The 13,974-nt window shown below is 49.2% G+C and overlaps 1 protein-coding gene across 20 annotated transcripts in view, besides 4 other annotated features; it reads right to left on the reverse strand.

Moving 5' to 3' along the window:
* Window positions 1–13,974, reverse strand: part of TNS3 (tensin 3) — a 307,433-nt gene that overhangs the window by 212,348 nt on the left and 81,111 nt on the right. Inside the window, exon 1 of one of the 20 annotated variants that reach the window (XM_047420737.1) lies at window positions 12,633–12,730. The exons of the other annotated variants lie outside the window; for them this stretch is intronic. The gene's annotated coding sequence lies outside the window, so the exon portion shown is untranslated. Of the gene's footprint in view, window positions 1–12,632; window positions 12,731–13,974 lie in introns of those variants that run through there. 20 annotated transcript variants of the gene reach the window in all.
* Window positions 1,013–1,559: an enhancer, noted in NCBI's record as "H3K27ac-H3K4me1 hESC enhancer chr7:47528112-47528658 (GRCh37/hg19 assembly coordinates)". NCBI's record gives its function as "activates a minimal SCP1, AML or CMV promoter by ChIP-STARR-seq in primed H9 embryonic stem cells {active_cell/tissue: H9 hESC(primed)}" and the evidence as "EXISTENCE:reporter gene assay evidence [ECO:0000049][PMID:30033119]".
* Window positions 6,088–6,679: an enhancer, noted in NCBI's record as "H3K4me1 hESC enhancer chr7:47533187-47533778 (GRCh37/hg19 assembly coordinates)". NCBI's record gives its function as "activates a minimal SCP1, AML or CMV promoter by ChIP-STARR-seq in primed H9 embryonic stem cells {active_cell/tissue: H9 hESC(primed)}" and the evidence as "EXISTENCE:reporter gene assay evidence [ECO:0000049][PMID:30033119]".
* Window positions 9,746–9,865: an enhancer, noted in NCBI's record as "active region_25978". NCBI's record gives its function as "activates an Ori minimal core promoter by ATAC-STARR-seq in GM12878 lymphoblastoid cells {active_cell/tissue: GM12878}" and the evidence as "EXISTENCE:reporter gene assay evidence [ECO:0000049][PMID:35858748]".
* Window positions 10,166–10,245: an enhancer, noted in NCBI's record as "active region_25979". NCBI's record gives its function as "activates an Ori minimal core promoter by ATAC-STARR-seq in GM12878 lymphoblastoid cells {active_cell/tissue: GM12878}" and the evidence as "EXISTENCE:reporter gene assay evidence [ECO:0000049][PMID:35858748]".

Below are 13,974 nucleotides of genomic sequence, written 5' to 3' on the forward strand. Positions count from 1 at the left end.
GGAGGGGAGAATCAGCTCAACAATACCAACCCACAGCAATGAAACGGGCGTTCCACAAATGCACACACACCACACAACACCGAATGCAAATCCGTGGGACAGCATTCAGGTGCAAAACAAGTAGAAACTGAGTAGAGACAAACGGGCCAGCCACTGACCTTGCCAAACCTTGCAGACAAGGGAGAAAGCAATTCACTGAGTTAAGCCAAGTACAGAGACATCACCTTATGCACAAGTTCTATCATACATAAAATTACTTTAATCATAATAGTTTTAACTCTAAGATAAGTTGCAAAGACTCAGAAATGAAGTTTACTTTTATTTTATCTTTACAAAAACAATTCTTTTTAAAGAAACTTCGTGATGGCGCCAAGATGGCAGTACTTTCTTTCCTAAGTCATAAAAACAGTCAGAGGTAACCTACCTCTGAGGCCCTGAACTAGCCAGGGAAAAACAGATACGGACGCCAAATATTTGCTGACCACCAGGACCTTACGATATAATTGGGGGTTGGGACTCTTCTATAATCTCTACACGGAGTAGCAGCCTGGTTGCAAGGAGGGTGGAGCTTTTACGAAGGGCCACTTCTATTATACCACAGCTTTGACTTCTTACATTGTATGTTACTGATCAATAAACTAGCAAGATCTTTAATTCACCCATTAGTTAAGATTGAAAAAGGATGCATTGTTCATGTGTTTATATTACCATTATTATCATTTATTACAAGGGCAGGGTAAGGAGAATAATCACAGAAGGAAAGTCCCCTCATTCCCAGTGCTGACACTGACCCAAGTGTTTATCTGCTTAAATAAGCAACAGTCTTAGCTCGGGTAAGGGGCGGCTGTTGTAACAACATACCACAGAATGGGCAGCTGACACCACAGCCGTTTATCCTCCCATAGTCCTGGAGGCTAGGAGGCTGAGATGAAGATGTGGGCAGGGTGGTTCCTCCTGAGGCCTCTCTCCCGGGCCTGCAGATGGCCACCTTCTCCCCGTGTCCTCACGTGGCCATTCCTTGTGTGTGTCTGTGTCCCAGTCTTTCTAAGGACACCAGTCATACTGGATTAGGCCCATCCTAATGACCCTATTTCAACCTAATTACCTCTTTAAAGACCTTATCTCCAAATCCTGCCATACTCTGGGGTCCTGGGGATTTGGACTTCAACATTTGAATTTGGGGAAACAAAATGCAACCCCCCAGCACTAACAATCAAAGGTCTGACAGGACGGGTGGAGACGTCAGGTCGACACAGAACGTTCTGGGCACACCAACAAGAGCTGGGTCCCCCAGGTGAGGCCGGGGGCTCCTGACATGCCGAAGGTGGCCTTACTCATCATTCAAGGCTGCTTTTCCAATGGTGCCTGGGGACAGGGGGCTAGGTAGAGGGTTGAAGAGAGGCCCAGGGTCAGATTTTCAACACAAGCCTGCAAACAACAGCAGATCTATACAAAGAATGGCAGTACAAAATGAGGACATTCGAGACTTTATTAACTTTCTCTGCTTCCTTCAAGAGCTCACCCTAACTTTGCTTCTGTGTCTCCTTTGTCAGGCTTGACCCTGGAATCCCTAATTAGGTTCACATTCCTCAGGAAGCTCTGTTATCCCACTAAGCGTCAAAGCCCAATTTAGCCTGCTCTAATCCCCATGAGAAAACACCCGCCCGGCAGACGCAATTAAACCTTCTCAGCCTGCGGGCTGAGAACCGGGACAGGAGCGGAAGAGAAAGAGAAGGAAAATTCCCAGAATCAGGTCATTATATTTTTCCTTACAGTTAACAAGCAGCTAGTGAAGATCATGTCTGTGGCACAGTAAAATGAAAAAAGAAAGGCTCAAGCTTTCCCAGTCCTTGGTCTTGGCTTGGTCTCGGCTCTTCTCACCTCTAGGGGCCTCAGTTTCCCCTTTCAATCCAACTCTATGGAATCTAATAATTTTTAGACAAAAGAGTAGTGCCCCTATCCCAGATGGGCTTAGCTGAACCTACTGGAACCTTCTTTTTCATTCTTTACTTAGGCTGTGTAGCTGTTTAACATTGGCTACCTTTACCCAGTTGAGGCCCATGGCCCACAAGGCAGGGCCAGGCCTTCGCTGGCCTCAGGCAAACAAGTTACCACTGGTAGGGAATATAATAGATTTAAAGCAAAAGCATAGTATCCTGTATCCATTATGTCACCATTATTTGTCTCAGATCAGAAATCAAATGTGAACCTATTGTTGGAACAATGTCCAGGGGATTCTCGAAGTGGCTGAAAAGCACTTTCAGGATCACTTGCATGCTGTATACACAAGTCCCAGCAAAGGGCACAGCACAGGATCGCTCGGGGGCCCAAACGCCTTCCTGCAGTGAGTCTGTCTTACAAGACCAGGGCTGAGCAGGGAGGCCAAGCATCTCATGGTGCAGCCGAGGCCCGCAGAGGCAGAATCAGGGTCTACAGACCCCTGAAGGCCAACACTTACCACAGTCCTACGCCTTATCTTTTCAAAAAGAGAAAGAGGACATCTGGTGATTGATAAAATGCTAATGGCTTGCAAAAAAAGCAAGAAGAAAAACTCATAAATCATAAATCCAACCTAATTGCAGAAAGATTAAAAGGTAGTATTGAGTTGATGAACCGTCTTTTTATTAGAGCATTATAATGCCAAGGACCAAGATTTAACTGCATCCACATTACTGGATCCATTTCCACAAGGAAAATCCAGGTCCCAACTCATGCATTCCTCACCAGCTACATCTGATCAGCCTATAATTCTCACCGGCCACCTATAATTAATAATAAAGTAATAAAGTACTGACACTGACATTTGTGAGTAATTTACATTTTAATTCATCAGAAGAGACTGATGATTACCTCTACAATAACATCCCTGCATGCTATTGCCTGAATAAGTTTAGTAGGTTGTGTTTTCAAAGACGGTGGCATCACACAGGGTCTTCTGTAAAGGAACTCTGCCATTCCCCCATCAAGAGGTAGAGTCTGTCCCTGTTCCTCTTGAGTCTGGGCTCGTCCTGGGTTTGCCCTGTGGCCTGCTGTGAGTGGTGGAATATGGCAGAACTCCGAAGCCTGGCCTTAGACAGCTGCAGTTGCCGCCTTCGCCTGGAGCATCCCATTCTTGGGCCCAGCCCCCATAATGAAGGGAAGCCTGAACAGCCGCATGGAGACACCTACAAGGGGGCACCGAGGTGCCCAGTGCCAATCGTTGGAAATGGGCATGAGGGCGTTTGTGACCTTCTGGCCACCCAGTCCCCCTGTCAGCACCACATGAAGCAAGCACTGCCCAGCCAGCTCACGAATCCATCACAGCTTGTTGGTTTCAGCCACTGAGTGTACAGGGGATTTGTTAGGCAACAACAGAGAACAGAAATAGTGTGCCCAGCAATGCGCACAGCCCCAGCATGCCCAGACGAGTGTGTTGGGCACCAGAATGCCATCCTTCAGTGCTCTGTGTCGGGAAGTAGAGGAAAGGGGCTCAAAATCAGCACTTGAAAAAGCCAACAGCAGCAATGAGGCCATGAGCTGTCACAGATGAGGAGATTTCAGCCGCCGATGGTGGGGGCAAGAGGCCGACAGAGCGCGGCTGTGGCTTCAGCACGAGGCGGGCAGACATGACCCAGGACACTAGCCAGTGGGCAGAGAGGCAGAGGGGCAGCCTCTCGTCCATCTACGCTGCGATTCACCAAAAAATGCATCAGGCTGAACATGCACGGTATGTGGTGTTCTTGAATGTAAGCTTCGGTTTTAAACAAATATGTATTTTAAACCATATATATACTGTTTCAAGCCCCAGAGTGACTGGACAGAACCGAAAAAGCTCTGTCTTTGCATCCAGAGACTGAAATTAGGGCAAGCCCTCTGCTTCTCCCAGCTGGCTCTGATGAATTTACGGAGACTGTCCTCTGTGAACTCAATTTTCCTCCTCATCTGTGACATAGGGATAATACGACCTCGCGGGGTGGATGTGAACCTCAAGCTCATAGGAAAGTCTTGACAGTGGGACTATATCAAATATACACTGTCAGATTGGAGTGAGGGTGAAAGGGGACCCCACGGCCTTTCAAAGACAGCAGCATAGTTACCGAAGGCCATCTCAGTCGGCCATACAGACTTTGCCTCTCTCCTGAAACACGAACTCCATATTTTTCAGACTAGGCATTTCCTGGACAATTTTCTGATGATGAGGCTGCAGCAATGAGACTGATTCATGATAATACTTAACCAGGGGCAAAACAGACATGTCCCTCGCCCCGTCCTGTTCACCTGAAGGAAGGCAGGGAGGAACCACTGCCCAAGACCATAGGCCTGAGTGGGACGGTGAAACCCGAGAGTCATGTCCTACAGAGATGGCCCCGGGTGTATGTTGATGTGTGCATGGCCCCATCAATCACAGCCAGTTCCTGAGAGCGATCCTACAGGCTCCTGGAAGGACGGGTCCAGATGCCATGCCTGACACCATGAACATTCTAAAACACTCAACTGGTAGTCTAAGCAAATGAAGGAACGCTTTTTGATTTTGCTTTGATTTATTCATGTTTAACATACAAGTTAAAATACCTGACTCTGAAGAAGCTGTAGGGGCCTACTGAGTGGGGACCTTAACTATTGGCACCAGAAATGGCTCCCTTTCCAACTGTGTGCCAGTGACTCCTAATCCCACTCACGAATGACAGGGAGTCATCATCTCATGTCCACCCTACACTGGCTTTCTGTCATGGCTCTGGCCACCCCACAGTGGGGGCAGCCCCTCACCACAGCTCTCTGTTTGGCCAGCAGCAGGAAGGCTGGGTTTGGAGCCCATGTGCCTGGTGCGCAGGCCTTCATGGAGGACACAGCCGCATATCGGCAGGCTGCCCTGCCTGCCGCACGGTAGACTCCAGGGCCTGGCACTGTCAGCTCCCCACACCTGATCTCTTCTTATCCTCTTTCCTCACCTGCAGCCAACATAGTCCAGGCTCAACTCCCTTGCCTAACCCTACCTCCCACCTGTGAGCCTCAGCCCAGGCTGCTCCCTCTGCCTGGAAAACCACCTGCCCACCTCCTACTGGGCAGGTGCCTGTGCCTCAAGGCCCAGTGGCAAGGCCCCTTCTTCAGGAGACACACAAATAAGATGTGCTTTTATTTCTGCTTCAAGAGAAGAGCACAGAAATGTTATGACCCTCTGCTCCTGTGATTTTGTAATATCCTCTTCTTATTTTAAAGGAAAAGGTCCAAGGAGGCAGTAACACTAAAACAAAGCACAGTTTTCCGAGGCTTTTAAAATGAGGGGTGGGCCCCACATCCACCAGGGAGCAGGCAAGCAGGTGTTTGTATTTTCAACCACGCCAGCCTCATGCTGAGAAAGGCGGGGTTCCGGACATGGAGCTCTGGAGCAGGAGGAGCTCCCACTGCCTGTGAGAGCCAAGGCCCGTTCATCAGGACGGCACTGAGCTCACAGGGAGCAGAGCCTCGGGCGATGACATCAGCTAATGCCACCCCCAGCTCCTGCTTCTTGGGGGTCTGTGGCATCTGAGGTTTCCATATGAAATCAATAGCAGGCTCTTCATATCAAGCCCTGGCTTCCACTGACCTGTTGCTAATGACAAGGCAGAGGAAGTGGTCACCCCTAGGGAGGGGATGCCCAGATCTCGAATAAAACCACCCTCCAGAGTGAAGCGCAGAGCTCTGACAGTCAATGTTCAGTGGTCATCCGTAAAGAAAAGGAATAGCACAAATAAGTGAGCTGGTCACTTCGCCAGACTTTGGGTCAGTTGTCTCAACCTCTCATTCATTCATTCATTGCAGAATGGCATATCAAATATCACACTTCGGGGCACTCGGAGATGAGAAAGAATTAGCAGTTGCCTTCGAAATTCAGTTTAAAATGGAAGAAAAGGTATAAACATACAACAGTTATTCAGGGAAGAAAATGGTAAATTCCACAAAGGTAGGCACCAGAGAAATTTTCCCTGAAATACATTTTGGCAAGAGTGTTTAACAATCACATGATGAACAGTTTGGGTTTTACCAACTGTCCTTTGCTCTAAAGAAGGCTGACAAGAGGCCGGGCGCGGTGGCTCACACCTGTAATCCCAGCACTTTGGGAGGCCAAGGCGGGTGGATCACGAGGTCAGGAGATCGAGACCATCCTGGCTAACACGCTGAAACCCTGTCTCTACTAAAAATACAAAAAAAAAAAAAAAAATAGCCGGGCATGGTGGCGGGCGCCTGTAGTCCCAGCTACTTGGGAGGCTGAGGCAGGAGAATGGCATGAACCCAGGAGGCGGAGCTTGCAATGAGCCGAGATCGCGCCACTGCACTCCAGCCTGGGCAACAGAGCGAGACTCCGTCTCAAAAAAAAAAAAAAGCTGACAAGAAAAGAAAACATGAGAAACCCTAAGAGCTCACAACTTATCAAATCTTTTAAAATTAAGCATTGAGCTGCAAATGGCCAACTGGCCAACTCTAATGTCCACATAAGCATATTTCATGAAACCCAAACTAGTTCCTGCTGGTCTGAAGCTAAACTGCCACCCCTGTTCACAAAATCTTGATAATGGCATTCCATTTAACTCTAATGTCCACATAAACATATTCCATGAAACCTAAACTGGTTCCTGCAGGTCTAAAGCTAAACTTCCACCCCTGTTCACAAAATCCTGCCAGTGGCATTCCTCTCTGCCCAGTGTCTCAAATTCAAAACCTAAGGATTACTCACAAGCCGTGCCTCTGACCCACCGGGTGGGTATGCCAATCCTAACAGGTCTACCTTTAAAATGCCCACAAGTCTACTTCCTACTGACCCCACCCATTGTTCAAGGTTGGGCCACTCCAGCTCTTGCTGGGCAGTGCTAAGCTTTCTAACCAACCTCCTGAGGTTCAATCGACTCCCCTCCAAATGCTTTTTAGAAGTAAAGAAACCTCTGAAAAAGCGAAAGGTTTTAGATAAAGATTCTGAAAGCAGAATTTCTCACATCACAGTATTGCAACCATTCAGCCATTCTATCCACTCCACCTCCCCTGAAAGACACAGTTGTGAGTTTGTTATTCTAAAGACCTTCTGAACAGGGGGCAGTTTCCAGTGATAAGGGAGGGTTAACAGCTCAGATCCTTGCACACCGCTTTATTAAGAACAGAAAGGAAGCCTGCGGGCTTCGGAAAGTTCCAGGGTAATTTGGAGTTGAGGGTGCACAGACACACACACAGTGCGCAGAAAGGCAGGAGTTGAAATGCCTAGAAACACACAAAAATGAACTCCGCCAGCTGCTCCCGGGAGGCGGAGAGAGGGCGCCCCGCGAGCTATTTCTGTGCTTGACAGAAAATGGGAGTAGGCACTTCCTGAATCCCTGCCTAAAATTAACTGCTTTACAAAAGGGGGGAAGGGGAAACCCATGGTGAAACAAGTTTTATTTTACAATTCAAAATCTGGAGGTGGGGATTTGAATGCTTCGTTATGGGTTTTGGCCCCGCTGATAAAAATGTGGCTGAAAAAAAGAAGAAATGGGGGCTTCACTAGGAAACCTACCCTTCAGAAGTAGCCCCACAAAAATAAAGCCAGCGGTTTGATTAGAAACGTTCTTCTCCCCGGCGCCTGTAGTCCCAGCTACTCGGGAGGCTGAGGCAGGAGAATAGCGTGAACCCGGGAGGCGGAGCTTGCAGTGAGCCGAGATTGCGCCACTGCACCCCAGCCTGGGCGACAGAGCCAGACTCCGTCTCAAAAAAAAAAAAAAAAAAAAAGAAACGTTCTTCTCCCCATGGAACGTGAAGCCATGTCTCAATGAGAGGCATGAAGGCGCATGCACAGCAACACTGGTGCAGTCGCCAGAGAGCACAGGCTTCAGTGCCGCACATCAACTAAGTGCCTGTCCTGTGGTCTAGGGGGCTGAGACTCATGGACACACACGCTGACAACATGAGAGGGCAGCGTCTGGGGCAGGGGCTGCACGAGACAGAGTGGGGTATCTGGAAGTATGGTGGGCACAGGGCCACGACCCCCGCCCTGAGGACGAGGCCTGCAGAGGTCTCTCCTAGCCTGACAGGGATGGTTATGTCCCAACAGGGGCGGGCTTCCAACACCTCTCCCAGCCTGAACTCAGGCTCTGGAAGACCTGAGTCTGAACGGGCCATAGAGAGGTCTCAGGAACAAGATCCCACTGGGAACCTACACTCAGAGCCAGAATGCAGTCTCCCAGCCAGAGCCAGGGCCCAGGACTGCCAGAAAGTCCCGGAGATAAGCTTCTGCAGAGATGACATTGCTAGATGCCAGGGTGGGTGGCATCCATGTGGAAGAATGACTGTAGTAGAAATTTTAAAAAGATGCACTGCATATGGTGTCTAAACATTGAAAGAGAACAGGCCGTTCTGCAGCTCCCCAACTGCAGCACACCTTCCTCCTCCATCTCGGCAGAGGGAAGGGGTAAGGACAGACCACTCAGGAGAGCAGTGGACGAAACCACACACATTATGACAAGTGGATTTCTAACCTGGACAGAGCCAGAGGCAGGGTCAGAGAGGAAGAGCTGTGATCCAGAAGGAGCACACGGTGCCACAGGGCTGGGGAGAGGCCCCGATGCCACCCAGCCCAGAAGCCCAGAGGTGAAGAGGCCCTGGATTGAGGAGAGGAGAGGACCCCAGTGAGCCTGGAGGAGGGGTGACAGGATAATGGGAGGAAGCATACATTATAGACTCTGAGCAGTTCAAAAACTGAATGGTGGTCTGAAAAAAGGGGTAGTAAGATAAGCACGTCAAAAAAGGACATCACTGAACAGGATGTGAGCTCACACAGGGGAATACAGAGTTTGGGGTCTTCTAGAAAGGGGCCAAGGGCTCCTGCAGATGGCAGCCAGAGTCAGCAGAAAGAGCACCTGGGGCCACATGTGTGGAAGGAGGGACGTTTCCCCTGTGACCAGAGCTGATGGGCAGGAGGTGCTGGAGCCAAATGGCATTTTCAGGAGTGTTTCAAGCTGATTAATGTCAGGCTGGTAGCTTGGAAGCAGGCGGGGGGAGGTGAGGTATTTTCACCAGGGGAATCAGCAGAGGCTGCCAATCAGCCCGCTGCACCCCCAGCAGGGTATAAACCCTCATCTGCACACCACCGGCCAGAACGTGTTTCAAGAGAAGCGGGAGTAAAAGCGATGGTGGCCAACGCAAACAGAGTCTGAGTGGGAGAGTCCACGCACACGCAGTACAGAACGCCAGGCACAGGTGAGAGAGGCGGAGGGCTGGGGATGCATCTGTACCTGCTCGTCAGGGGCTTGTGGGAAATCACATCAGAAGTCCAAGACCAAGCAGGCAGGGACACCTGCAGCACCCAGCTCTGCCCTAGGCCCAGATACCCTGGCTGCAGCGATGTGGGCCAGGACTACGGAAGTCCTCTGTGGGGTGAGCCAAGGCAGGGTGAGCCTGTGCAAATGCAGGAGGCTGGGGGGAGTAGAAAGAAGGGCAGCCAGTCAGGGGAAAGGTCACAGAGCTGGCCAGAACCAAGGCAGCATCGAGCAAGAGGCACTTGGATTCCAGTGTCAGAAAATATTAAGCCCACGGCTCTGCCATTAGCCATATGGAACCACTTTCAGGTGGGCCTCAGGCTAAGTCTGAGGCACTAATTAAGCCCACTAAATGGAATTTGTTTGCTTAAAAGAGCAGACCCCATTCTCAGAAGAAAATTTAGAAAATATATATACTTTCTTGTCATTTAACAGTTAATAAATAAAATGCATAGTGATTTATGCTAGCGGTAGGCAACATTTCATGAAATAAATCTACTAGCGTCAGTACCACAACTGCAGAAAGAGTAGTTTCCAGCAACTGACACTGTAGACATCTACAGTGATTCCTAATACAATGATGCAGATTAAGGTATTAAAAGGGGAAAAGAGCACTCCTGCAGAAGCCACCAGGCCCTGTGCTTGGGGAGCTGTTGAATTCAGTTCTCCGCAGTCCTCTTAGTAGGGGTTAATTCCTGTTTTATAGAGGAAGAAACTGAAGCCCAAGGTCACATGGGTAAGACAAAGCAGAGTCAGGATCCAGACCCAGGTCTGTTATTCATTCTTCTCTTTTATGAGTCCTCAAAGTTTCAGAAGCTGCTTCTGAGAGCTACACATGCAAATTTCCATTTTGTACTTCTGTTCTCCCAAAGAGGCCAGGCAAGAGAAAATAAGTATTCGCCTAGTACAGAGTTTCACGTATGGAACACACACACACACACACACACACACACACACACAGAGCAGGAAATGTTCACCGCGTGCTCTTTTCTTTTGTTTTTGTTTACACTGGAGCGACGTGTGCCCATGGATGCCTGGCCTTGCTGCTCTGTCCCCTGCCCCTCGAGCTATATGGGGCTCCCTCCAGGACCGGGCTCCCCACCCTGGTCTATCTGACCCAGTCAGGGCAGTCACTCAAACATTCATTACTGTCACCATGAAAGTGGCATCTGTTTTGAATTCAGGGGCCTCATCTTCTCTGGGTGTCCCACTCTGTCATCAGAGCCTGGCTGCATGAGGTCAGCTGGCCCCTTCTCTCCTCCGTGACACCCCTGGTAAACAGACACCCAACAACATCCCGCAGGGTGGAGGTGGGGAGTGAACCTTAACCAACAGCACGCTTGTCCAAATTATTTCTCAAGTAATGGAGGTTCTGCAGGGAGAGCTTCTTTCTCAGGTTAGAACTGGTCAAAAGACACAGAGGTGGGGTTCAGAAGAAGATTTCCAGGGCACCTCGAAAGCCCTAGTTTAATCAATAAAACACACTTGCAGGCACGGGGTGCCCTTGCCAACAGCCTCCTACCCTCCCATGTAACCACAGTGCCATGGAAAGTTACCCTCATTTCACAGATGCCGAGAGTCAAGGCAGACAGGCCTGGCCTGAGCCACGTGCAGGATGCAGGGACCCACATTCTCCCTCCGGCTGCACCTTCTAGCCTCCTGCCCAGGACACAGATACAGATGCTGGCTGCAGAGCTGCTAATTAGGTTACTGGCCACGTAGTTAAAATGATGTGGCAAATAGGTGCAGATTCATTCCAGGTATGTGTTGTTTCATCTGTTACAACACAATGTGGAATGAAAACTGATGATTCAGAGAAAACACAGGATACATTTTAAAATTATATTATTTATTTAAAACAAATATCTTGTTTCAAAAGATCATAATTCTCTTTTGGCCTCTTTTTGGGGCAGGGCTAGGACTTCCTACACAAATATAGCTTACACTTATGCCGCACTAAAAAACAAACCTGCCATCACAGGGCGAGAACTTCACTCATAACCAGACAGCCAACATGGTCCCGTCAGCCCGGCCAAAGGTCACCACCAGTTTCAAAGACCTGTTTCCTCTGGTGTAAAGTGGCGAACTCAGTGACTTCCCAGCCTGTGGAATGCCAGCAGGGTCACCATAAAGCCCCGCAGATGCCGAGACGGTGCAAGGAGCAGAGCCCCACAGGGCAAGGCCCCGAGCTGCTGGCAGCTGGTGTCGCCCAGCTGACGCACTTCCTCAGTTGACAGTGGCTTGGTCCTGCTGGCCACCTTCGAGTCCAAGAAAGGCCTAGAAGTCCACAATGAATGCCTCTGATTGAGGCTCAGATTACTAGGGATTTAGAAACCTTAATTCTTTTGTACAAAGTATAATTGTGCTGACATGAAAAGCCAAATGTGGCTTGCTGACTTTGAGAGTGAGCCTAGAGCCCACATGGTGGCCTTGGCTGATGGGATTCACACAGTGGGGCCACTTCCCAGACTCTGGGAGTCAGGAGTAATAGTTCCCAGTAGAAAAAGAGACACAGGTATAAACATGCCTCTAGTAAGGTGTTAATGTGTAAAGTGACTTTCTAATTAAAATGAGTCAAAAATGATTGGTGAGGACAGCCTACCAGAAAAGGGATCTTACAGGAAAAGGAATAAAAGTGTCCTCAAAAAGAGCAGAATTTAAGGATGCTTCATGGTTCTTCTGACAGTAGTGACAACTAGCAAAAAAGAAAGACATGGAAGCCACCAATCAGTACCCACCTTGAGTAGGTGAATGGAGGGTAAACTGTGGCACATCCAGATGACAGAGTGTTATTCAGCTGAAAAGAAATGAGCTATCAAGCCAAGAAATGACAGGGAAGAAATTTAAATGCATATTATCAAGTGAAGGAAGCCCATCTGAAAAGGCTACACATGTATGATTCCAACCCTATGGCATTCTGGAAAAGGCAACACTATGAAGACAGTGAAAAGGTCAGCGGCTGCCGGGGTGCAGGAGAGAGAAGCGCGGCACAGAGGATTTCTAGGGCAGCGAAACTACTCCATACGGTACTGTCATGGTGGATGTCACTTATCATGCACCTGTCCAAACCCATGGAATGTACAACACCCAGAGTGAGCCCTAACGTAGACTGTGGACTCATCAATACTGGCTCATCAATTCTAACAAATGTGCTGTTCTGGTGCGGCGATGCTGACGGCAGGAGAGTGTGTGTCTCTGTGCGTGAATATGCATGCGTGTGTACATGTAAGCACGTGTGTGTGAGCCCTCGGTTCTTTCCCCTCGATTTTGCGGCAAATCTGAAACTGCTCTAAAAATAACATCTTCTAATTTTAAAAACCATTTTAAAAGCTGTCAAACATTAAAACACACACACACACGCACACACACACACACTTGGCAAACATAGGTGGAGACCTGCAATCATCTGGCAGAATCAGACTCTCATTTCGTCCTGTGGGGCTGCAGACAGAAGCTCCCTGTGGACAGCACGCTGCATCTGGGTCCAGCTCTGTGCACGGCCGAGAGCTACCCTCAGGAAATGTCTGCTGAACTGGCTGGCTTAAAAATTAACTGCCTCCGCCCTTAGAGCAAGAAGTGGGGAGGGAGGAGAAGGGATGCCCGTGTAAACATTTACTGAGACGGCAGAGAGAGGCAGAGCCCGTGCTGGCCGCGTGAGCTGGGGCAGGACCATCGCAGGCTTTAGCAAGAGATGCAACTGCTCGGTCCCAGCCCTGTCACCTGTAAGAGGGAGCAGAACAAGCCTCCTCAGACAGAAGTGTGACGAGTAAATGACAGAGCATATCTAAAGCACTCGGCAGGGTCCTGCAGATCCCTCAACAGCGCTGACTGAGTGGCATTCCTTCTGCACAGGCTGGACATGGAGAGATGTATCTCATGACATCCCTAAAAATCCTATGCTCAAATGAAGAAGCTGAGTTCAGAGGGAGTAACCATCTTCCTGAAGCTATTGTAAAGGGTACAAATAGGGGCAGGAAAGAGATGAACTCACAAACAACAAAAGAGCTTTTACACGCAGGGCCAGGGATTTTCCTTTTGGTTATGAAAAACGTATTGGTCCTGGCTGGGCTCAATGGCTCACACTAGAATCCCAGCACTCTGGGAGGCCAAGGTGGGTGGATCACTTGAGGTTAGGAGTTTGAGACCAGCCTGGCCAATATGGTGAAACCCCGTCTCTACTAAAAATAAAAATTAAAAAAAAATAGCCAGGCGTGTTGGCACACGCCTATAACCCCAGCTACTTGGGAGGCTGAGGCAGAAGAATCCCTTGAACCCAAGAGGTGGACGTTGCTGTGAAAGATCGCACCACTGCATTCCAGCCCGGGTGACGGAGGGAAGAAAGACAAACAGAAAGAGAGAAAGAGAGAAAGGGAGAAAGGGAGAAGAGGAGAAAGGGAGGAAGAGAGGAAGGGAGGAAGGAAAGAAAGGGAGGAAGAGAGGAAGGAAGGAAGGGAGGGAGGGAGGGAGGGAGGGAGGGAGGGAGAAAGGAAGAGAGAAAGAAAGAATTTATTAGGCCTTGTTACTAGCAAATTCAGATCATTCATTCCTAGTGAAGACCATATGAAGAAAGGCCACTACTTACACCTTTTGGGGAGGTCAAAGCTGACACCCCAACCTTAAAAGCTGTGGCAATGAGCTTCACCAGATTCCATCCTCCACCAACAGCCCAGGGAGCACCAACCCTGCTGAAGGTGGGGACGAGAGTCTGCAGCCTCCGTGGCCTGTGTGCTGGCAGGAA

This window comes from Homo sapiens, chromosome 7 (genome assembly GCF_000001405.40).
Source record: "Homo sapiens chromosome 7, GRCh38.p14 Primary Assembly".
NCBI lineage: Eukaryota > Metazoa > Chordata > Mammalia > Primates > Hominidae > Homo > Homo sapiens.